The sequence below is a fragment of the Homo sapiens genome, chromosome X (genome assembly GCF_000001405.40).
Source record: "Homo sapiens chromosome X, GRCh38.p14 Primary Assembly".
In the NCBI taxonomy this organism is placed as follows: Eukaryota; Metazoa; Chordata; class Mammalia; order Primates; family Hominidae; genus Homo; species Homo sapiens.
Window position 1 is genome coordinate 23,828,912 of NC_000023.11, and position 24,353 is coordinate 23,853,264.

General features: G+C 42.8%; 1 protein-coding gene and 1 pseudogene across 7 annotated transcripts in view; both read right to left on the bottom strand.

The window, feature by feature from the left end:
• APOO (apolipoprotein O) overlaps positions 4,442-24,353 on the bottom strand; it is a 74,586-nt gene continuing 54,674 nt past the window's right edge. For 4 of the 7 annotated variants that reach the window (NR_026545.4, XM_024452447.2, XM_017029837.2 and 1 more), the window contains 2 exons: positions 11,402-11,466; positions 4,461-4,599 (listed from right to left, as the gene is read on the bottom strand). Coding sequence is in view for 6 of the 7 variants with exons in the window: in XM_024452447.2 (XP_024308215.1) it covers positions 11,431-11,466 (36 nt within the window). In the remaining variant the exon portion in view is untranslated. Of the gene's footprint in view, positions 4,702-11,401; positions 11,467-24,353 lie in introns of all 7 variants that reach the window. The other 3 variants (XM_011545587.4, NM_024122.5, XM_011545586.3) reach the window with 2 other exon arrangements.
• On the bottom strand, positions 7,733-8,435 carry RPL9P7 (ribosomal protein L9 pseudogene 7; annotated as a pseudogene).

Here is a 24,353-nt window from a genome sequence, read left to right on the forward strand (position 1 = left end):
AAAGGCCCCTACATGTGAAATACAGATGACTTATTCTGCACTGCTAAGTGAATGAAATGTGAAACACTTGCTTATAAAAACAAACTTTTCTTCCACCCGGGCATTTCCTTGGCTATCATTTCATAAACACAAATAAGCCTGAACTTTGGTCACATCTAGAGTTTGACCTAACTGTATACCCTTAGTGTTATGTGCTGGTTAATTACAGGTTGAGCAACCCTAGTACAAAAATCTGAAATCCAAAACACTCCAAAATCCAAAATTTTTTGAACACAGACATGATGCCACAAGTGGAAAATTCCGTATCTTACCTTGTGTGACAGGTTACAGTCAAAATATAGTGAAAACTGGCCAGGCGCAGGCTCACGCATGTAATCCCAGCACTTTGGGAGGCTGAGATGGGCGGATCACGAGGTCAGGAGCTCGAGACCATCCTAACACAGTGAAACCCCGTCTCTACTAAAAATACAAAAAATTAGCCGGGCGTGGTGGCGGGCGCCTGCAGTCCCAGCTACTCGGAAGGCTGAGGCAGGAGAATGGCATGAACCCAGGAGGCGGAGCTTGCAGTGAGCCGAGATCACGCCACTGCACTCCAGTCTGGGTGACAGAGTGATACTCTGTCTCAAAAAAAAAAAAAAAAAAAAAAAAAAAAAAAAAAAAAAATATATATATATATATATATATATATATATATGTATAGTGAAAACTGGCCAGGAGCGGTAGCTCACGCCTGTAATCCCAGCACTTTGGGTGGCCGAGGCGGGCCATCACTTGAGGCCAGGAGTTTGGGATCAGCCTGGTGAATATACTGAAACTTCGTCTCTACTAAAAACACAAAAAATTAGCTGGGTGTGGTGACACATGCCTTTAATCCCAGCTACTAGGGAGGCTGAGACGCAAGAATTGCTTGAACCCAGGAGGTGGAGGTTGCAGTGAGCAGAGAGCATGCCACTTTACTCCAGCCTGGGCAACAGAGTGAGACTGTCTCAAAAACAAAACAAAAACTCTCTCTCTACACACACACACACACACACACACACACACACACACACTCAAAATTTAATGCACAAAAGTATTAAAAATATTTTATAAAACTACCTTCACCCTAAGTGTATAAGGTGCAAGTGAAACAAATGAATTTCATGTTTTTAGACTTGGGTCCCATCCCCAAGATATCTCAGTATGTATATGCAAATATTCCGAAATCTAAAAAAATTCCAAAATCCAAAATATTTCTGGTCCTAAGCATTTTGGATAAGGGATACTCAATCTGTACTGACTTGAAAGTTGAATATATCAGAAGGGAAACAAAACATCAGACAAGAGAAGGTTTACAGGGTGAAAACCAAAACCTGAAGCAAGTTTCTTTCAACCTCTGGTGAATGAAACCATGATTTCAAATACTTACTTTAAATGAAAATCAAGCCATAAGGAGACTTTAGTCCCACAAATGTACTACTGGTCCCCTGACAGTGGTTTCTGCATTAGACTGGGTTGGTACATTGAATTAAAAAGTGAAAACTTGGGCTGAGCACGGTAGCTCACGCCTGTAATCCCAGAACTTTGGGAGGCTGAGATAGGTGGATCACCTGAGCTCAGGAATTTGAGACCAGCCTGGGCAACATGGCAAACCTTATCTCTACAAAAAATACAAAAACTAGCGGGGCATGGTGGCATGTGCCTGTGGTCCCAGCTATGCAGGAGGCTAAGGTGGGAGGAGCACCTGAACCCAGGGAGGTCAAGGCTGCAGTGAGCTGTGATCGCGCCACTGCACTCCAGCCTGGGCAAGAGAGTAAGACCTTGCCTCAAAGAAAAAACAAAACAAAACAAAAGACTGCCAAAATGATGAGTGCAAAGTGCATTCATTAAGATAAGACAAGGTGGAGGCCGGGTGCGGTGGCTCACGCCTGTAATCCCAGCACTTTGGGAGGCCGAGGCAGGAGTTCGGGACCAGCCTGGCCAACGTGGTGAAACCTCGTCTCTACTAAAAAATACAAAAATTAGCCGGGTGTGGTAGCAGGCACCTGTAATCCCAGCTACTTGGGAGGCTGAGGCAGGAGAACTGCTTGAACCCAGGAGGCGGAGGTTGCAGTGAGCTGAGATCGTGCCACTGCACTCCAGCCTGGGCAACAGAGCGAAACTCCGTCTCAAAAAAAAAAAAAAAAAAAAAAAAGACAAGGCCAACGGGCGTGGTGGCTCACGTCCGTAATCCCAGCACTTTGGGAGGCCAAGGTCGGTGGATCACTTGAGCTGGGGAGTTCGGGACCAGCCTGGACAACATAGCAAAACCTCGTCTCTACAAAAAAATAAAAAATTAGCTGGGTGTGGGGGTGCATGCCTGTAGTCCCAGCTACTCGGCAGACTGAGGCAGGAGAACTGCTTGAGCCTAGGAGGTCAAGGTTGCAGCAGCTGTGACCGTGCATGCCACTGCACTCCAGCCCGGGTGGGGAAAAAAAAAAAAAGAAAGAGATAAGATGAGGAAAATATAACCCCTATCTATTACTTTTTCTGAATTCAAGGATTCTGAATTATATCTTTAGACTAAGAAAAATAAGTAATATTCACTGCATGGCCTAATTTTACCTGTCATTGATTTGCTATTTAACCTCGAGCAAGTCACATTTTTCCATCTGTATATGTGAACACAGGCATTTTGCCTACATTTTGAACTTTTTCTTTTTCTTTTTTTTTTTTAGACAGGGTCTTGCTCTTTCGCCCAGGCTGGAGTGCAGCAGTGTGATCTTGGCTCAATGCAACCTCCTCCTCCTGGGTTCAAGCTATTCTCCTGCCTCAGCCTCCTGAGTAGCTGGGATTACAGGCACCCGCTATCATGCCCAGCAAATTTTTGTATTTTTAGTAGAGACAACAGTCACTATGTTGGCCAGGCTGGCCTTGAACTCCTGACTTCAAGCGATCTGCCCGTCTTGGCCTCCCAAAGTTACAGGCATGAGCCACTATGCCTGGCCTTCTTTCTCTTTTTGTTTTTTTTTTCGAGACAAAGTCTCACTCTGTTGCCTAGGCTGGAGTGCAGTGGATTGATCTTGGCTCACTGCAAACTCTGCCTCCTGGGTTCAGGCAATTTTTGTGCCACAGACACCCAAGTAGCTGGGACTACAGGTGTGCACCACCACGCCTGGCTAATTTTTGTATTTTTAGTAGAGACAGGGTTTCACCATGTTGTCCAGGCTGGTCTCAAACTCCTGGCCTTAAGTGATTCACCCACCTCGGCCTCCCAAAGTGTTAAGATTACAGGCGTGAGCCACCGCACCTGGCCTAAAATGTTTTAAAGCAATGTTTCAATACTGAGTAAAAAACTAAAAATGGGAGGTAATATCTTAGATAGGAGGCACTCAAATTATTGATTAATGACCTGAGCATGCTGACGTGTAGGCCATTTCTTCTTAATCTTCTCTAGATCAGGCAATTGCAAGGAAGAAACTCATGGAATCGCTACTTTCCAGAGGTGACATGGGAGGCCAAGCCAAATGGAGAAAGCCTGAAATAACAGCATATTTATAATGAGATATAGGCATGGCTTTCACATATTTGAGTGATTGGCATAGTAACACAAAAGTACTTTGGCATAAAAGGAAATAAAAGACTTCTGGGTGACTATGGAGAACATTCTAGGGACAAATTTGCTTCAGCTCATTAATCTGGTAACAATGCTCCCTCTGTTCCTGCCATTTTGGCTCTCTTAAATATATATAACATGAATATGTGCATATCCATCTGTGTATTGCTATCTTACTGACTGCTATCAGTTCTGGAAGGTCAATGATTAGGAATTCAATGATGATACAAGTATACAAGGAAGACTTAGAGTTCCCAAATCTAATTGAAATCTGGAAATTCTAAATTCTCTTTGACATTCTGTTCCCCTGTCATCCTCACTGGCTGGCTGGCTGACAAGTCAAAAGAGGCTCCTGCAGTGGGAATACAGAGTTCAATGAGCTGTGCATTCAGGGCCACAGAGGAGGAGAATACAAGCCATACACATACAGAGAACCCAAACACACACCACATCCCCATTCATCCACTGGCAGAGGACAGAGACTTCTTCATTCTGAATCTCCCACTGGCATTCAAGAATTGCAAGTTCTGTACAAACTAGGAGGTGACAGCCACAACAAGGGGTCACTGTTACTGTTTCCTTTTATATGTCTTCTAATCATCGTCAGGGAAACTGTATTACTTACAAGTTTTGTTCCTTGTGCTAGTTATTGAAGCATCTCTCGGACTCCAGAGCTACTCTTCTATACTATGTGTTGTGGGGCCCAGACTCAGCAGGCTGTGAGCTGATACTTCCCTAAGAGTTACCTGTTGTCTTTAACTCACATACACCATCCATACCACACACACACACAAACATGCACCACACACACAAACCATGCATACACACACACCATACACACTTAGACCATCACTCAGTGATATCGGATTTTTTTTTTTAACTTGGGTTTTAATTAGGTACATAAATAGCAACATGAGAATGAGGAGTTCTAAGGCTTGTACATTATCTCTAGGTGAAGGGATTCCAGGTTAGTTTGCTTGTAGGATGATTTCACAGAAGATAACAGAGGTCTGGTCTAGTTTTTCCTGAAGAAGAAAGCCAATTTAATACATTCAATACTGACTTCTATGCCATTTTTCTGTAGAAATACTGATTTATTCTATGGAGTTTCCAATGTTTACCTATAACTAAAAGAAAGAAAAGAAAAACATAAGTAACTGTGCCAGAAAAAATTTTGCATTATGAAAATTCTTCAGATTTAAATAGAGAAACCAGGCCAGGCGCGGTGGCCCATGCCTGTAATCCCAGCACTTTGGGAAGCCGAGGCGGGTGGATCACCTGAGGTCAGAAGTTCGAGACCAGCCTGCCCAACATGGTGAAACCCCGTCTCTACTAAAAATACAAAAAGATTGGCTGGGCATGGTGGCAAGTGCCTGTAATCCCAGCTACGCAGGAGGCTGAGGCAGGAGAATCACTTGAACCTAGGAGACAGAGGCTGCAGTGAGCTGAGATCATGCCATTGCACTCCAGCCTGGGCGACAAGAATGAAACTCCATCTCAAAATAAATAAATAAATAGAGAAACCATAGAAAATATTTACATCACCATTATATGACCATAAGAAACATGAGCCAGAGAAAACTGTAATTATTCCCATTTTAAAGACAGTTAAACTAAGAATCAGAAAGGTCGAGTGTGGTGGCTCATGCCTGTAATCCCAGCACTTTAGGAGGCCGAGGCAGGTGGATCATCTGTGGTCAGGAGTTCGAGACCAGCCTGGCTAACATGGTGAAATCCCATCTTTACTAAAAATACAAAAAATTAGCCGGGCATGGTGGCGGGCGCCTGTAATCCCAGCTAATCGGGAGGCTGAGGCAGTAGAATTGCTTGAACCCGGGAGGCAGAGGACGCAGTGAACCAAGACTGAGCCACTGCACTCCAGCCTGGGCAACAGAGCAAAACTCTGTCTCAAAAAAAAAAAAAAAAAAAAGATTTTGTGTTCCATCAACATTACATATACACTACATTCAGATCCTCAATTGGCTGTGTATCTGAGTGTAATTAACCAACTAGATGGATGAATAAATAAAAAACAAATGCCTAAATGGCACAGTACACATCACATCTGAAGATTAAACAACTACATTTCCATCTATCTGCTGGAAAGCATGATTACATCACCCTCAGTTTGATGTGTAATTTTCCTCGCATCACCCCCATCATACTTTTCTGGAATAAAATACACATATAGTCAAAGACATGTCAAAGACAAACTGAGTCTTCTCCAGATTGCTTTTTTCATATTTTTTTTTTTTTTGAGATGGAGTCTTGCTCTGTCACCCAAGCTGGAGTGCAGTGGCGTGATCTCGGCTCACTGTAACCTCTGCCTCCCAGGTTCAAGCAATTCTGCCTCAGCCTCCCAAGTAGCTGGGATTACAGGTGCCCGCCACCACACCCAGCTAATTTTTTATATTTTTGGTAGAGACAGGGTTTCACCATGTTGGCCAGGCTGGTCTCGAACTCCTGACCTAAAGTGATCTGCTTGCCTCAGCTTCCCAAAGTGCTGGGATTACAGCCGTGAGCCACCACGCCTGGCTTTTTTTCATAATTTGTAATGAATATACTCAGCAATTAGAGATTTTTTTTTTTTTTTGAGACGGAGTTTCACTCTTGTTGCCCAGGCTGGAGTACAGTGGCGTCCTCTCGGTTCACCGCAACCTCCATCTCCCGGGTTCAAGCAATTCTCCTGCCTCAGCCTCCTGAGTAGCTGGGATTACAGGCAGGCGCCACCACGCCCGGCTAATTTTTTGTATTTTTAGTAGAGATGTGGTTTCACCATGTTGGGCAGGCTGGTCTCGAACTCCTGACCTGAGGTGATTCACCCGCCTCAGCCTCCCAAAGTGCTGGGATTACAGGTATGAGCCACCGTGCCCGGCACAATTGGAGATTTCTAAATATTTTAGAGGCCAGTGACTATTCACTTGATCTTTTAATATACAACCAAAAATTCTTAAACATGTAAACTACTAGCTTATTTTTTCTATCTCAGTTTATTAATCTGCTTTTGTCTTCCCCAGGAATTTGATAGATTTATTGCATTGTTAAAAACTAAAAACTGGAAACAACCTATGTTGGTAAGGATTAAGTAGATCATGGTAGTCCATACTAGGAAATCATTAAGCAACTAGAGAAGGAATGCGTAGCTCTATTAAGTACTGACAGGGAAATACTTACACAATATGTTATGTAAAACAAGTTCATTCATTCATCAGCATAGATTAATATAGTACTGTCTATGGCAAAAAAAAAAAATGAACCTAAGTCTAATTAAGCCTTCGGATCCAACTATAAGTTTATGGGAAATATAGAGAAGAAAGAAACCAAGAGATAAACAGAATGATACTAAATGGATACATTCGGCCACAGCCAGAACATGAGAAATTCTTTTTTTCCCCTCCCAGCTCAATCCTTGTAGAAAACAGGAATTCTAAAGGACAAATAAGCCAGGTTTTTCAACAGATAAATAGCAAGGGACAATGAGGGAGCGGAAACTATTACAGTTCTAAGAGACCTATCAGTCAAACACAACAGGCAGATCTTGTTTGGATCCTGGTTCAAACGAACCAACTGTAAAAAGTTATTCATGAAACAACCAGGAAAATGTGTACATTGAACTGGATATTAGATGATGTTAAGGAATTAGTGCAATTTCTTTCTTTCTTTGAGACGGAGTCTCTCTCTGTTGCCCAGGCTGGGAGTGTGCAGTGGCACGATCTTGGCTCACTGCAACCTCTACCTCCCGGGTTCAAGCAATTCTCCTGCCTCAGCCTCCTGAGTAGTTTGAACTACAGGCATGAGCCACCATGCCCGGCCTTAATTTCCTTTTTTTCTTTTTTCTTTTTTTTTTGAGACAGAGTCTCACTCTGTCACCCAGGCTGGAGTGCAGTGGCGTGATCTCGGCTCACTGCAACCTCCGCCTTTCGGGTTCAAGCGATTCCCCTGCCTCGGCCTCCCGAGTAGCTGGGACTACAGGCGCACGCCACCATGTCTGGCTAATTTTTGTATTTTTAGTAGAGACAGGGTTTCACCATATTGGCCAGGCTAGTCTCAAACTCCTAACCTCATGATCCGCCCACCTCAGCTTCCCAAAGTGCTGGGACCACAGGCGTGAGCCACCACGCCCAGCCCCAGCCTAATTTCTTTTTTTTTTTTTTTTCCCCAAATCAATAGGTCTTTTATTGCATCATTTAAATATCACAAGTAGGTCTTAAGTGTCATCTGGCATCTTCTTTCTGTAGCCAGGTAACTCTTAGATCTTATTCATCAGCCTGCTGAACAGTTCCTTTTTCAGAGACATAGATACCATCCAAAAATTTCCTGATATCCTTGTTTTTAACTGTTGTGGCTTGCTGAATCAAAGCCGCTGAATTTGAAACAAGCTCAATGTCATTTCCTTCAAGGATTAATTCATCTTTCTGGGCTTGAGATACTGAACAAGCAACACCTGGTCTCATCCGAACCCTGCGGATGTATTTTTCACCCAAAAAATTTCGGATTTCAACAAGAGACCCATTCTCCTGGATAACAACGTTGATGGGGAAGTGAGCATACACAGACCTCATCTTGTAACGGAAGCCCAGTGTAACACCCTTGATCATGTTCTGTACATGACTACAAATAGTCCGAACGGTAGCCAGTTCCTTTCTGTTACCCCACCATTTGTCAACCCGGAGCCTCTTTTTTTTCTTTCCAAGAAGGCTGAGTTCTACATTGATGTGATTGAAGTCCCTCCGCAGGGTTCCTCTGGGGCCCTTCACGATAACTGTGCGTCCCTTCAGAGTAATGTCGACATTTTCTGGAATGTCGACAGTCTGATTGCTGAGAATAGTCTTCATTCTCGCAGTAGACGCAGCAAAGAAAGCCTAATTTCTTTATGTATGATAATATAATTACAATTATATGCCTTCAGTAAGTTTTCTGTGCAGCTACTCAGAAGGGTGAAGTGGGAGGATCACCTAAACCCAGGAGTTGAAGTCCAGCCTGGGTAACACAGCAAGATCCCATCCCCCCAGATAAATAACAGTAAAAAGAAAGTTTTCTGTGAACTTGTAAAACAATATGTGGAATATGATCCCATTTTGTCAAAAAACCAAAAACATGCATGTATGCATGAATATATTATAAATGTATAAATAAATTTATTTAATTTATAAATAAATTTTAAATATAAATAAATATATATATTTGTTTTTGAGACAGGGTATCACTCTGTTGCCCAGGTTGGAGTGCAGTGGAGTGATCATGGCTCACTGCAACCTCTTTCTCCCAGGCTCAGGAGATCCTCCCACCTCAGCCTCCAAGTAACTGGGACTACAGGTGTTCGTCATCACACTCAGCTAATTTTTTTAATTTTTTGTAGAGACAGGGTTTCGCCATATTGCCCAGGCTGTTCTCGAACTGCCAGACTCATATAATCCACCTACCTCAGCCTCCCAAAGTGCTAGGAGTACAGGTGTGAGCCACTGCACCCGGCCTATCTATCTATCTATCTATCTATCTATCTATCTATCTATCTATCTATATTTAAAAGTCTGGAATGATATACCAAACTATTAACAAAAATTACCTCTGGAAAAAAGAATAAAGGGGCCAGATGTGGTGGCTCACACCTGTAATCCCAGTACTTTGGGAGGCTGAGGCAGGTGGATCACCTGAGGTCAGGAGTTCGAGACCAGCCTGACCAATATGCTAAAACCCTGTCTCTACTAAAAAATACAAAATTAGCTGGGCATGGTGGTGCATGCCTGTAATCCCAGCTACTTGGGAGGCTGAGGCAGGAGAATGACTTGAACCCGGGAGGCCTCAGAGGCTGCAGTGAGCAAGATTGCTCCACTGCACTCCAGCCTGGGCAACAAGAGTGAAACTCTATCTCAAAAAAAAAAAAAAAAAAAAGAAAGAAAGAAAAAGAAAAGAATAAAGGATAAGACAAGCTTTTTTGTTTTGTTTTTGAGACAGAGTTTCACTCTTTTTGCCCAGGCTAGAGTGCAATGGCACGATCTCGGCTCACTGCAACCTCCGCCTCCTGGGTTCAAGCGATTCTCCTGCCTCAGCCTCCCAAGTAGCTGGGATTACAGGCAACTACCACCATGCCTGGCTTTTTTTTTTTGTATTTTTAGTAGAGACGGGCTTTCACCATGTTGGCCAGGGTGGTCTCGATCTCTCGACCTCGTGATCTGCCCACCTTGGCCTCCCAAAGTGCTGGGATTACAGGCGTGAGCCACCACACCCGGCCAAGACAAGCTTTTAAAACAGTTAGCTAAAAACATTTTTTACAACCAACACGAATCACTTTTATAATTAAAAGCTACACCTCCTCCAATAAAGATCTAAAAACAATAAAGAATGAAGTCAAGGTTGTGTATTTCAGCAAGCTGAACTCTGGTGCAGAGTATCTTTGAAAATTGAAATGGATATTTACCTAATTTCCCTTTATTCTATGTCTTTTTCATTGTCCCTGTACAGAAATATATCCATTCTGGCTGACAGGGATTTAAAAAAAGAGAGAAATATAACCATATTAAAAGTCAAGTCTCTAGAGGACATGTGTCACTCTGTGGCTGCTCACCCTCCAGTCATCCTTCTAATGGCACATCCCATGCATATCTGGCCCCATTCACCAGAGATACTGATTCTGGGGTGCCCTTTGCCTTTTACCAAGCTCCCCGGGTAATAGTTTGTATCTGAGAACATACTGATGTTGGGTTACTGTATGAACAGCTATGCTGTGAAAGAGGAACTGGATTTGTTTTCTGTGACCACTAAGGAGACATATTTTTGCTTAGCAGAGGAAACAGCTTCCAAAAACTCAGAATTGTCCCAGGATGGCTGCCCCATAGGGTGAGTTTCCCATCAGTGCTGGTGTAAAAGAAGGAACATACAGGGTTTCAGGGGAGTCTGCTTGAGGCTGGGGGTTGGGCCAGATAACCACTCTCAAATTCTCAGTTTATGTGACTCTTTGGGTCTCCAAAAATATAAAGAAAGCTTGAGGAAAAAAGACCCTTCAAACTCAGGGTTTTCATAAATTTTAAGTAAGGGCCATGATTTACAATAAATGTAACACCAATTTTCAAAAAATTTTCTGATTATAAAATGCATACTCATTGCAGAAAATTTTTTAAATACAGAAAGTTATAAAGAAGAAAAAAATATAAAAATCATCATGCCACTGAAAGATACACACTTTCTGTCGTATCTCCTGGCTTCATCCCCTCTATAAACATATCACACTACCTTTTTTTCATTTAACAATAATTGTGCACACGTTCCCATGCAATTAAATACTGTAGAAACAGAATAATAATATTCTTCTTTATAGATATACCATAATTAAGCCATTTTCCTGTAGTTGAATATCTAGGTTGCTTCCAAATTCAATTACAGTCTTCTAATTACCAGGAAATCACAAGTGCTATTATACAATTTTTCATATATACACAAACAATATAACTAGTGTTTTGAGCCTCTCTGTAACAGTCATGCATTCCAGTGTTCACTGAGTATTAGATAAATACAAGTGTACTTACTATAATAAAGTGTTGTTTGAAAAAAACCTAAGGAATAATGACACTTTTCAATTGTTTGAAATACATTTGTAGACAAATCCCAACTGTCTGGTTCTAGCTTGTCTAAAAAACCCAGGTAACATTAGTGGAACAAACACAAATAAGTAAGTCACAGCATTTAAGCCCAGAAACTAAAAGATGGAATAAAATATTTTCACATCAAATTGAAACTGTTATAATTAATTAAATTAAATTAATTAAAAACAAGTCATTTCAGCTGGCACTACAATGCTGAAAATAATCACAGAAATTTCTTGTTTTTTACCTGATTAAGATGGCAGAGCATGGAGTTTTCTACTTAGTTCCAGGTGAATTCTTCACATTTCCTGGCTTTTAAAACAAAAGAAAGAGCTTGAATGCAGTTTGAAAAGAAATAGTGCAACTCCTTAGTGTCCTGAGTATTTGGCTGAACATGAACATTAAAAATTATTATGGGGGACAGGGTCAAACCATTTTATTGAGGACTTGGGGGGTTGTTGAAGAAAGGCTGAGGAGGACAATGAGATCCCACATTCTCGCAGTTACCGACCATTAAATATTATTTTACTGCAAAGTGATCCATCTGTCAGTAAATTGAAGAAGTTACTAGGGCTCTCTGAGGGCCCTACTGTAGAGTGACTTGGGCAGAGAGAGCAGGAAATAAAGCTCCATTAATCCTCATTATGCAGATTCAGCCAAACAGTTGATTCTAATTAAAAAATCAATATATCTTCCTTTTATTTCCTGAAATAAAGGTTTTACACCTATGGGAAGGCTTCCTGTAGGTATTTACTCCATGCATTATTCACCATTATCCACCATAGGGGCCAATCCACAAAACATGTTTACTCTGAAAGAAGTTAGACCACACCCATTCTGCCCAGTGGCCCTCCGGGAACATATAATTAGGCCATGTAATCCATAAGAAGCAGTGTAGGAAAAGCTTCTAGTGGGAAAAGTTCACGTGCTAAACTTTTAAGGCCTTACTTTCTTTTCTATACGTTTTTTAGACTTTAATTCTGAAAACACATTAATAGTCAGAGATCAGATGGCAGTCTGAAAAACAGGAGGCTGCAGCTGGGCGGGCCATGGGGGCTAAGATTCTGTTGTATAGACTTGGAGCAGTTTCTCCTGGTGCCCCTCTTTCAGAGTTATTCATGGATGAAGGAAGAGGAAAAGGTGAGAAAGCAGGAGCACGTGACTAACCCTGTCATTTCAGAGCATGGTTTCTAGGCAACTTTGGGGCTCCCTGGAGTGGCTGAGAACTGGTCTATAAGTACTGTTTTATACCCGTTGTCCCAACATAATTAATAGTGTCCCCTTTCACTCTCAAGAGTATCCTGGTTTGCCGGGCATGTTGGTTCACGCCTGTAATCCCAGCACTTTGGGAGGCCGAGGCGGGAGGATCCATTGAGCCTGGGAATTCAAGACCAGCTTGGGCAACATAGAAAAAGAAGTTTAAAAAAAAAAAAAAAAAAAAAAAGAGTATCCTGGTTTTGATGATAAAGTATATGGTCACCACATCCACTTGATGATGGAGTTCTGGGAAACAAGGCCATACGAACTGCTTGGCGGACCAATGATCAACATACAATTCTCAGGTCTACTTGATGCTCTGAACAAGAGTGCTACAGGACTGAGAATCTGTGCCCTTCTCCTCCTCCAGAGCCACTCCCCACCCTGCCTCCTCACATGCATGCACACAAGCGAACACACATACCCATATGTGAACACACACCCACCTACAACCCAGAGGCCTTTTTGCTGTTGCTCGAAATTGACAAACTCCCTACTGGGACAAGACCTTTGCAAAATATACCCCACTGACCGAGACCAGACAATCCCAATTTTTGCCTAGCTAAATGTTATTCATCCTTTACATCAAGGCTTTCTTTGTACCCTGTCCTTCAATTTAGCAGAACCTTCTATTCCCTTTCATAGCACTCATGTACTTCCTGATTGTGTAATTATTTCTTTCATGTTTGAGTCTTTCATTAACCTGTAAGCTTCATGAGGGCACAATATCCCTAGGGCCTCCTAGCACACACTATTCAAATATTTGTTGCATAAACAAATGGAAAGCCAGGGGCAGTGGCTCACACCTGTAATCCCAGCACTTCAGGAGGCCGAGGCGGGTGGATCACTTGAGCCCAGGAGTTCAAGATCAGCCTGGGCAACATGCTGAAATCCTGTCTCTAAAAAAAATACAAAAATTAGCCAGGTGGGATGACACATGCCTGTGGTCCCACCTACTCAGGAGGCTGAGGTGGGAGGATCACTTAAGCCAGGGAGGTTGAGGCTGCAGTAAGCTGTGACTGCACAACTGCACTACAGTTTGGGCAACAGAGTGAGACCCTGTCTCAAAACAAACAAACAAATGGAATGGGGTAGAACTTAGAGATCTGATGAATGTAAAAAAGCTTGGGTTTCTATTTTCTTAACACATCCATGAACACGAATAACAATTTCTGTTAGCAAAATTAAAACTTAAAAAAAAATCAAAACATTGATTTCTAATTAGTATGACTGCCATGTGAAGGCTGATTGCCAGCCAAACCTTTGAGGTATAGCAGCCTACTGAAATGTCTGGGTCCCTCACCAGACTAATGAAGAACAAGAAGAGAGAAAAAAAGGCTTATAAGGGCCAGTGAGATAATCATGTCCAACAATCGGGTCTGGCATAAAAACAAGGTGGTTCTCGGCAGGGCGTGGTGGCTCACGCCTGTAATCCCAGCACTTTGGGAGGCCAAGGTGGGTGGATCACCTGAGGTCAGGAGTTCGAGACCAGCCTGAACAACAGGGAGAAACCCCGTCTCTACTAAAAATACAAAATTAGCAGGGCATGGTGGCGCATGCCTGTAATCCCAGCTGCTCGGGAGGCTGAAGCAGGAGAATCGCTTGAACCCAGGAGGCGGAGGTTGCAGTGAGCCAAGATCACGCCATTGCACTCCAGCCTGGGCAACAAGAGTGAAACTCCATCTCAAAAACAAACAAAAACAAACAAACAAAAAAACAAGTTAGTTCTCTACTTAAATACAGTTTAGGTCTGAATTAACATACTGCTTGCCAAATACTTCCAATGATATTCTTATATATTCTACTATCTATACTCGCCAGTACCTCAATCTCAAAAAAATAAGATGCTAAATTCACAAGCTTTTTTATCTTTTGGACAATAAGAAAATGAGCACACAAAAGCATTCTTCTGATTCAGGAAAACAACTTTGTTGCTAGGAAAATTTTCTTGTTTGGTTACATATCACTTATAGTATAACAAAACAGCACAGTCCAATATCTCATTAAAAAAATATTGAGCCCATCCACCACCCTGTCACAAATCAGATCTCTCTTGGCAGAGAACTCCAGGATCTCAGACAAAACAACATTCTGACTTCAAAAAACAGTTCGTGATTTAGCACAAGCCAGAAATCATTTTTTTTTGCATTTTCAGACAGAGAAAGTTTTATCTAGAATATTTTGTAACTCATTTTCATACATATCTGATTTCAGTTTTTATTTTCTTACCACGTCCATGAACACAAATGACAATTTCTTTTTTTTTTTTTTTTTTTTTTTGAGACGGAGTTTCCCTCTGTCACCCAGGCTGGAGTGCAGTGGCGCAATCTCAGCTCACGTAACCTCTGCCTCCTGGGTTCAAACGATTCTCCTGCCTCAGCCTCCTGAGTAGCTGGGATTACAGGCGCCCACTACTACACCCAGCTAATTATTGTATTTTTAGTGAAGACAGGGTTTCACCATGTTGGCCAGGCTGGTCTCAAGCTCCCGACCACAGGTGATTTGCCTGCCTCGGCCTACAAAGTGCTGGGATTACAAGCATGAGCCACCGTGCCTGGGCACAAATGACAATTTCTGCTAGCAAAACCAAAACTTTTTAAGAAAATCAAGACACTGATTTCTAATTAGTATGCCTGCCATGTGAAGGCTGATTGCCAGCCAGCCAAACCTTTGAGGTACAGCAGCCTACTGAAATGTCTGACTCCCTCACCAGTTGAATTATTTTCAACAATTACTTAACTTCTCCAAAATGCAGTTTCCTCACTTATAAATGGGGATAATAATAGAACCCACCTCAAAGACTCTTCCTGAGCAAAGAGTTTAGCGCCAAGGGCCAAGCTCACAGCAAGTAAGTGCTCAATAAACATTATCTATCCTATATGGCAGGCCACTTTATTTTTTGGATGAAGAAAATAAAAGGTAAGGATAAATGACCTGTTAAAGACCCCAACACAATTCTAGTTCACTTGATGAGGTAGGCAGAATAATGGCCCCTCAAAGATGTCTTCTATTTCTGGAACCTGTGACTGTTACCTCACACAGCAAAGGGAAATTAAGGTTGCATTGGAATTAAGTTTACTAATCAGTTGCCCTTAAAATAGGGAGATGATCTTGGATTATCTGGGTGGGCTTGATTCAAGCATAAGAGTGCCTGCAGTCTAAGAGGGAGGCAGAAGAAGAGGTCAGAAGGGGGATCTGCAAACGACTTGCTGCAGGCTTCGACAATAGAGGAAGGAAGCTGGAAACAGCCCTCAGCCAGCAAAACAGACCTTGGTCCTACAGCCTCGAGGAACTGAGTTCTGTCAACAATCTAAATGAGCAGGAAAGAAATTCCCCCCTAGGGCCTCTAGAAAGGAACGCAACCCTGCTGACACCTTGATTTAGAATTGGACTTCTGACCCACAGAACTAAGATAATCATTTGCACTACTTTCAACCTGTAAATTTGCAGTCATTTATTTTGGCAGCAATGGAAAACTAAAACAATGACATAAGGATTCCTGACTACAGGGTATGGTTCCATTTTCTATCAGTGGACATTATCTTCTCAGGCAGAAGCGAAAATGTGCAGTATCACATGAGTGGTGGTTGATGACTATCATGTGGCTAGAGTCCAGCCATTTCATATGTTCCTCACATGAGATAACCTTATTTAATCCTCAAAACAGCTCCAGGAGGTACTATGCCAGTTCCCACAGAGCTGGAGTAACTTCCCAAGGTTTCAGGGCTAGTAAGAGGCAGAGGTGGGGTAGGAGTCTGGTGCTCCCGCTCCTCTTAGTCCACTGGACAACGCTGTATCCTGCCCACTGATACCAAGAGTGCATTCCTTTCTAAAGAGGAGATGACATTATTCAGGATTTCTAACTTTTCATTTTGGTAAATAATGGTGTTTTTAAAAAGAAAGAAAAAATCATTTCAAAATCATTTCCTAATACCTGTAGTTCTTAGAATTTTAGACAGCAAAAAATTACAAAGCACAAACTCATAACTTTATGGAAAACCCATCAAGCTGTCATTTAAAAAAAATACAGTGGTAAGAATACTTAACATGACATCTGCCCTCTTGGCAGATTTTTAAGTGTACAATACGGTACTGTTATCTATAGGCACAGTGTTGTGCAAGGGGTCTGTAGAACTTATTCTCTTTGCTTGACTAAAACTTTGTTGATTACCAACTCCCTATCTCTCCCTCCCCCAATCCCTGGCAATCGCCATTCTATTCTCTGCCTCTATGAGTTTGACTATTTTAAATACCTCATACAAGTAGAATCATGCAGTAATTGTCCTTCTGTGATTAGCTTACTTCAAAGATGAACATTTTAAAACTACATGACTTACTTTCAGCCAAACTTTGCCATGTTTAGAGAGCCGAGGAACTTCTAATGGAGGAAGAAAAAGCAGGGCATGTTTACTCAGGGTGGTGGCTGCTGCTTCCCTTTCATTTTCCTGCTGAGCCAGCAAGGGCCTGAATAAAACTATTAACAGCTCAGCTTTAGAAGTTCTGCTCAGTTTTCACATTGGTAACAGGTTTATGCTTCTTTATTAATTTCCTGCCTTTTAAATAATTAGTGTTGGCCTTCAGCAGTCATTGTACAATTCTGTGATAGTAATTTGTTGCATTAAAAAAAAGCTAGTGAAAAACTAAAATATGATATTTACTGAGACATACTGCTGTGTTTAGCTAATTATAAGACAACTCTAAGCTGGGTGCGGTGGCTCACGCCTGTAATCCCAGCACTTTGGGAGGCCGAGGCAGGGGGATCACCTGAGGCCAGGAGTTCGAGACCAGCCTGGCCAACATGGCGAAACCCCGTCTCTACTAAAAATACAAAAAAAAAAATTAGCCAGGCATAGTAGTGAATGACTGTAATCCCAGCTACTTGGGAGGCTGAGGCGGAAGAATCGCTTGAACCCAGAAGGCGGAGGTTGTAATGAACCAAGATGGCACCATTACACTCCAGCCTGGGCGACAGAGCGAGACTCCATCTCAAAAAAAAAAAAAAAAAAAAGACAACTCTAGTCGGGTGCAGTGGCTCACGCCTGTAGTCCCAGCACTTTGGGAGGCTGAGGCGGGTGGATCACTTGAGGTCAGGAGTTCAGGACCAGCCTGGCCAAGATGGTGAAACCCTGTCTCTACTAAAAATACAAAAATTAGCCAGGCGTGGTGGCGCACGCCTGTAATCCCAGCTACTCAGGAGCCTGAGGTAGGAGAATTGCTTGAACCCAGGAGGTGGAGGTTGCAGTGAACGCGATCGCACCACTGCACCACTGCACTCCAGCCTGGGCTACAGAGCAAGACTCCATCTCAAAAAAAAAAAAAAAAAAAAGACAACTCTAAAAGAGCCATCTGTGACCCTGAGGACTGACACCCACAACTGACCTCCTGACACCCACAACTGGCCTTCATCTCTGATACTGAGACCTTGGGTTAGGACTATTCTGAAAGGGTTTCGGATTAGCAATGGACAATCAATAAATATTTCATGCTTTTATTAAGCTCCTAGAGTCAAAGAGTGAAAACCATAATGGAAAAGGTCAATAAATCAACTACATGAAGAACTTCTTCTGATCATCAAGACACCAAAACTGAAAAGACAAGCCATATTGAGAAAAGACATCTGCAAACATCTGGCCAAAACTATTAATATCTAGGAAAAAAATAAAGAACCCTTATAAATCAATAAGGGACAAATGACCCATATAAAAAGTGGCCAAAAGACATGAACAGGCATTTCAAGAAGAAGCCAATAAACCTGTGAAAAGATGCTCAATCAGGGCAATGTAAATGAAAACCACGATGGGAAATTCTGGGAACATCTTCACATGCTAGATAGTGAGGTAACTATCACAGACTACTTGGGTCATGTCAAGAGGACTCAGAGCCAACTTCCACTAGCAAAATGGGACAGTTTGAACTTTAATAAGACCAAGAATTACAAAGCATTCAAAACTATCAAATATGTTTAAATCTATAAACCCGTAATGATTTTTAATTTATTTATTATTTTAAGAAACAGGGTCTTGGCCAGGCGCAGCGGCTCACACCTGTAATCCCAGCACTTTGGGAGGCCGAGGCGGGCGGATCACGAGGTCAGGAGATCGAGATCATCCTGGCTAACACGGTGAAACCCCGACTCTATTAAAAATACAAAAAATTAGCTGGGCGTGGTGACGCGTGCCTGTAGTCCCAGCTACTCGGGAGGCTGAGGCAGGAGAATGGTGTGAACCCGGGAGGCAGAGCTAGCAGTGAGCCGAGATCATGCCACTGCACTCCAGCCTGGGCGACAGTGCGAGACTCCATCTCAAAAAAAAGAAAAGAAAAGAAAAGAAACAGGGTCTCGCTCTGTCACCCAGGCTGGAGTGGAGTGGTACGAACACAGCGCTCACTGCAGCCTCAAACTCCTAGACTCAAGTGATCCTCCTGTCTCAGCCTCCCAAAGTGCTGGGATTACAGGTGTGAGCCATTGTGCCCAGCCTATAATTATATATATATATATATACACACACACACACATATATATCCATCTCTATATAAATATATATATATATTTATTTATTTATATTATTTTTTTGAGATGGAGTTTCACTCTTGTTGCCCAGGCTGGAGTACAACGGCGGGATCTTGGCTCACTGCAACCTCCGCCTCCTGGGTTCAAGCGATTCTCCTGCCTCAGCTTCCCGAGTAGCTGGAACTACAGGCATGTGCCACCACGCCCAATTTTTTTGTATTTTTAGTAGAGACGGGGTTTCACCATGTTAGCTAGGATGGTCTCGATCTCCTGACCTCGTGATCCGCCCACTTCAGCCCCCCAAAGTGCTGAGATTACAGGCATGAGCCACCGCGTCTGGCCCTATTTTTTTGAGACAAAATCTCACTCTGTCGCCCAGGCTGGAGTGCAGTGACGCGATCATGGCTCACTGCAACCTCTACCGCCCAGGTTCAGGTGATTCTCCAGTCTCAGCCTCCTGAGTAGCTGGGACTACAGGCGCGTGCCACCACACCTGGCTAATTTTTTATTTTTAGTAGAGACGGGGTTTCACCCTGTTGGCCAGGCTGGTCTCGAACTCCTGACCTCAGGTGATCCACCCGCCTCGGCCTGCCAAAGTGCTGGGATTACAGGCGTGAGCCACCGTGCCTGGCCATTATTTTTAAAGAAAAACTAACAGGTGATCTTCTGAGGAAAGGGAATGAATTCATTATTTTGAAACTGGATAAATAAGAGAAAAAAATCAAGTAATTATCTTGTTTTTCCTATATAAACTATAACTGGGTAACTAGTAGATAAGAGAAGGGGTTCTTTATCAAAATATTTCAGCTAATTTGAGAAAATGAAACAATAGAAGCAAAATATCACCATTTTCTTTTCTTTTTTTTTTTTTTTGAGACAGAGTCTTGTTCTGTCAACCAGGCTGGAGTGAGGTGGCATGATCTTGGCTCACTGCAACCTCTGCCTTGCAGCTTCAAGCAATTCTCCTGACTGAGTCTCCTGAGTAGCTGGGACTACAGGCACGTGCCACCATGCGCGGCTGATTTTTTTTTTTTTTTTTTTTTTGAGATGGAGTCTCACTCTGTCGCCCAGGCTGGAGTGCAGTGGTAGGATCTCAGCTCACTGCAAGCTCCGCCTCCTGGGTTCACGCCATTCTCCTGCCTCAGCCTCCTGAGTAGCTGGGACTACAGGCGCCTGCCACCACGCCTGGCTAATTTTTTTGTATTTTTAGTAGAGACAGGGTTTCACCGTCTTAGCCAGGATGGTCTCAATCTCCTGACCATGTGTGGCTAATTTTTTTGTATTTTTAGTAGAGCTGGGGTTTCACCATGTTGGCCAGGCAGGTTTCGAACTCCTGATCTCAAGTGATCTACCCTCCTCGGCCTCCCAAAGTGTTGGGATTACAGGTGTGAGCCACTGCGCCCGGCCAATATCACCATTTCTATCCCCCAAAGATTCAATGGGTCTAGGCATTGAGCATCTACAGCTGCTAAAACCAATAAAAACAAAGCAAAAACCAGACTTATGTGCCTACGTGGATCTAGAGCATTGCCAAAAGGATCAAACAGGATCTGGTTCAAGTAGCCCGTGCATCCAGCTGCCAATGTGCAGGGAGTACAGAGAACACGTTAAACTATAGCATAAATGTGTAATCAGCAAAACCCAAACCGTTGGAAACTCTATAGGTGAAATGTGCCAGACTGTTTTAACAGATAAACTGTAAGGAAGTCAACTCCAAAAGATGGAAGGGGAGCCTGTAGATTAAGAGAGACTTAAAAAAAAAAAAAAAAAAAAAAAAAAGTTCGGGCATGGTGGCTCACACCTGTAATCTCAGCACTTTGGGAGGCCGAGGCAGGTGGACTGCCTGAGGTCAGGAGTTTGAGACCAGCTTGTCCAATATGGTGAAACCCCATCTCTACTAAAAATACAAAAATTAGGCGGGGGCGGTGGCGTGCGCCTGCAGTCCCAGCTACTCGCGAGGCTGAGGCAGGAAAATTGCTTGAACCCAGAAGGCAGAGGTTGCAGTGAGCCAACATCACGCCACTGCACTCCAGCCTGGGCGACAGAGTAACACTCCATCTCGAAAAAAAAAAAAAAAATCAAAAGTTGTTTAAGGCAAGTACATTATTGGGGCAACTAGGGAAATTTGAACATGGGCTATATATTAGATAACATTTGTGTAAATAATGAAATGCCAACTTTCCTGAGTACAATAACGGTATTGTGATCATATAAATGAATGTCCACGTTCTTTGGAAATACATGCTGAATTAGATACAGATGGAAAATGCAATGATATCTACAATTAATTCTCAAATGGTTCAGGAAAATAAAATATACTCGTGTGTATGAACACCATGCATAGGTGAAAAGATAGATTATGCAAATGCAGCAAATGTTAGTGAATCTAAGTGAAGGGTATATTCATTGTACTAGTCCTGCACCTGATCTGTAGTTTTGAAATTTTCTCAAAATGAAAATTGGGAAATAAAGTAAAGCCACATACACATATACTCCATGATGAAAAACTCTTTTAAAGCCATCACACTGGCAAAAATGGTAACAATTACTTGGCATCATCTAGTAAAACTGAAGATATGCAGACCCTATGAATCAGGAACCCTGGTCTAGAAAAATTCTTCACAAATTATGAAGCCATGCTGTGTTGTAATAGTAATATACTGAAACCCACCCAAGGAGCCACCAACATGGGTATTTTCCCATAAAGAAAATATGACCAGGCGCAGTGGCTCATGCCTGTAATCCCAACACTTTGGGAGGCTGAGGAGGGCGGATCACCTGAGGTCAGGAGTTTGAGACCAGCCTGACCAACATGGTGAAACCCTGTCTCTACTAAAAATACAAAAATTAGCCAGGGATGGTGGCGCATGCCTGTAGTCCTAGCTACTCTGGAGGCTGAGGCAGGAGAATTGCTTGAACCCAGCAGGCGGAAGTTGCAGTGAGTCATGACTGCACCACTACACTCCAGCCTGAGCAACAGAGTGAGACTCCGTCTATTAAAACAACAACAACAACACAAAGAAAATAGTCTACAGCAGTGAAGATGAATACACTACTGCCATACATAACCCATAAACAAAATGTTAAGGGAACAAAACAAGTTGCAAAATAATATGTAGTAAGACTCATCTAGATAAACTTATATATATATAATATGTATATTTAGACTTAAATTTGGTATATTTTTATAAAGGCAAAAACAGGCAGGCTCAACAATAGTATTTCAGAATACAGACATATATGGTTAAACTGGAAGAAAAGTTTAAAGAAAAACAAGGGAATGAAATAAAATTCCAGATAATGGTTCCCTCTGGGGAGACTTGGGGGTGAGGGGACCCATGGAAGACTTGAAAGGCATCGGTAATTTCCTTTTTTTTTTTTGAGATGGAGTCTTGTTCTGTCGCGCAGGCTGGAGTGCAGTGGCGCGATCTTGGCTCACTGTAACCTCCACCTCCCAGGTTCAAGCAATTCTCTGCCTCAGCCTCCCGAGTAGCTGGGATTACAGGCACCTGCCACCATGCCTGGCTAATTTTTTGGTATTTTTAGTAGAGACGGGTTTTCACCATCTTGGCCAGGCTGGTCTTGAACTCCTGACCTCGTCATCCACCTGCCTCGGCCTCCCACAGTGCTGGGATTACAGGCGTGAGCCACCGCGCCCCACGGTAATTTCCTAGTTTTAAAGGTAGATAATTGGTTGGTATGTACATGGTCATTATAGTGTTGGATTTTAAACTATACATATGTTATATATTCTTGTAACTTAAAAGAAAGCCCTAGACTGTACCAAGATGACAATATTTCTGGACACACCTATCTTTGCTTCATAGTTCTGACAAAAAGTTCATTTTAACTGAAGCAGATAAATTCCTCTTAAGTAACCAATGATGACAGACTGAAACACTACTTTATTGGTAGAAGACTCAGCACAAACATTTAGAATCATTTCGTAAGAGGGAAAAGGGATGTGGCAGAGCAGCAAAATGCCACAGACCTGTTTGGGATATTTCAGAGTAATATACCCCCATGGGAAATAATACCGTTAAGAATTGTGCCATCATTCCTAATTTAAAAATTTTCAGTGCCCTGTTTTATGTATGTATGTATGTATTTAGAGACCGAGTCTCGCTCTTTCGCCCAGGCTGGAGTGCAGTGGCACGATCTCAGCTCACTGTAACCTCCGCCTCTCAGGTTCAAGTGATTCTTGTGCCTCCGCCTCCCAAGTAGGTGGGATTACAGGTGTGTGCCACCATGCCTGGCTAATTTTTGTGTTTTCAGTAGAGACGGGGGTGCGCCATGTTGTCCAGGCTGGTCTCAAACTTCTGGGCTCAAGTGATCCACCCGTCTCCACATCCCAAAGTGCTGGGATTACAGGCGTGAGCCACCACACCTGGCCAGCACCCTGTTTTAAACATAGTGTCCACAGTTTCTCTGACTATGTACAACCAAAAGCCAGTACATCTGTTACATGATTAGAATACAAACAATTGGCCGGGCACGGTGGCTCAAGCCTGTAATCCCAGCACTTTGGGAGGCCGAGGCGGGCAGATCACGAGGTCAGGAGATCAAGACCACCCTGCACAACATGGTGAAACCCCATCTCTACTAAAAATACTAAACCCCGTCTCTATTAAAAATTAGCCAGGCGTGGTACTATGTACCTGTAATCCCAGCTACTCGTGAGGCTGAGGCAGGAGAATCGCTTGAACCCGGGAGGCGGAGGTTGCAGTGAGCCGAGATCGTGCCACTGCGCTCCAGCCTGGGCCACAGAGCGAGACTCTGTCTCAAAAAAAAAAAAAATATGAATTAGATGATACTTAATTGAGACTGGTAATTAAAGCTGGACTTGAAAACCAACTTCCTAACAAGCTAAGAAACAAAAAAGTCCCCTTCATGAAGCGTCCCTTAATTCCCTTCAATGAAGACAAGATATCTTCATCCAAAAATCATACATTTTTGTGTGTGCCTTTCTTCTGGCATTTATCACATTTTATCTTGTATTTTGGTCATATGCTTTCCTTATCTCCTTTACTAGATTTTGAATTATTTGATAGTCTATGAAGAGAATATACTCAGCTCCAAGGCCCCAGAAAGATTCATTTTCCAGGGTAGCTTAAATCTTAGCTCTCATTAAAAAAACAAAAACAAGGCCGGGCGTGGTGGCTCACGCCTGTAATCCCAGCACTTTGGGAGGCCGAGATGGGTGGAGCACCTGAGTTCAGGAGTTCGAGGCCAGCCTGACCAACATGGTGAAAACCCGTCTCTACTAAAAATACAAAAATTAGCTGGGTGTTGTGGTGTGCGCCTGTAGTCCCAGCTACTCAGGAGGTTGAGACAGGAGAATGGCTTGAACCCGGGAGGTGGAGGTTGCAGTAAGCCGAGATCGTGCCACTGCACTCCAGCCTGGGCAACAGAGCAAGATTCCATCTCAAAAATA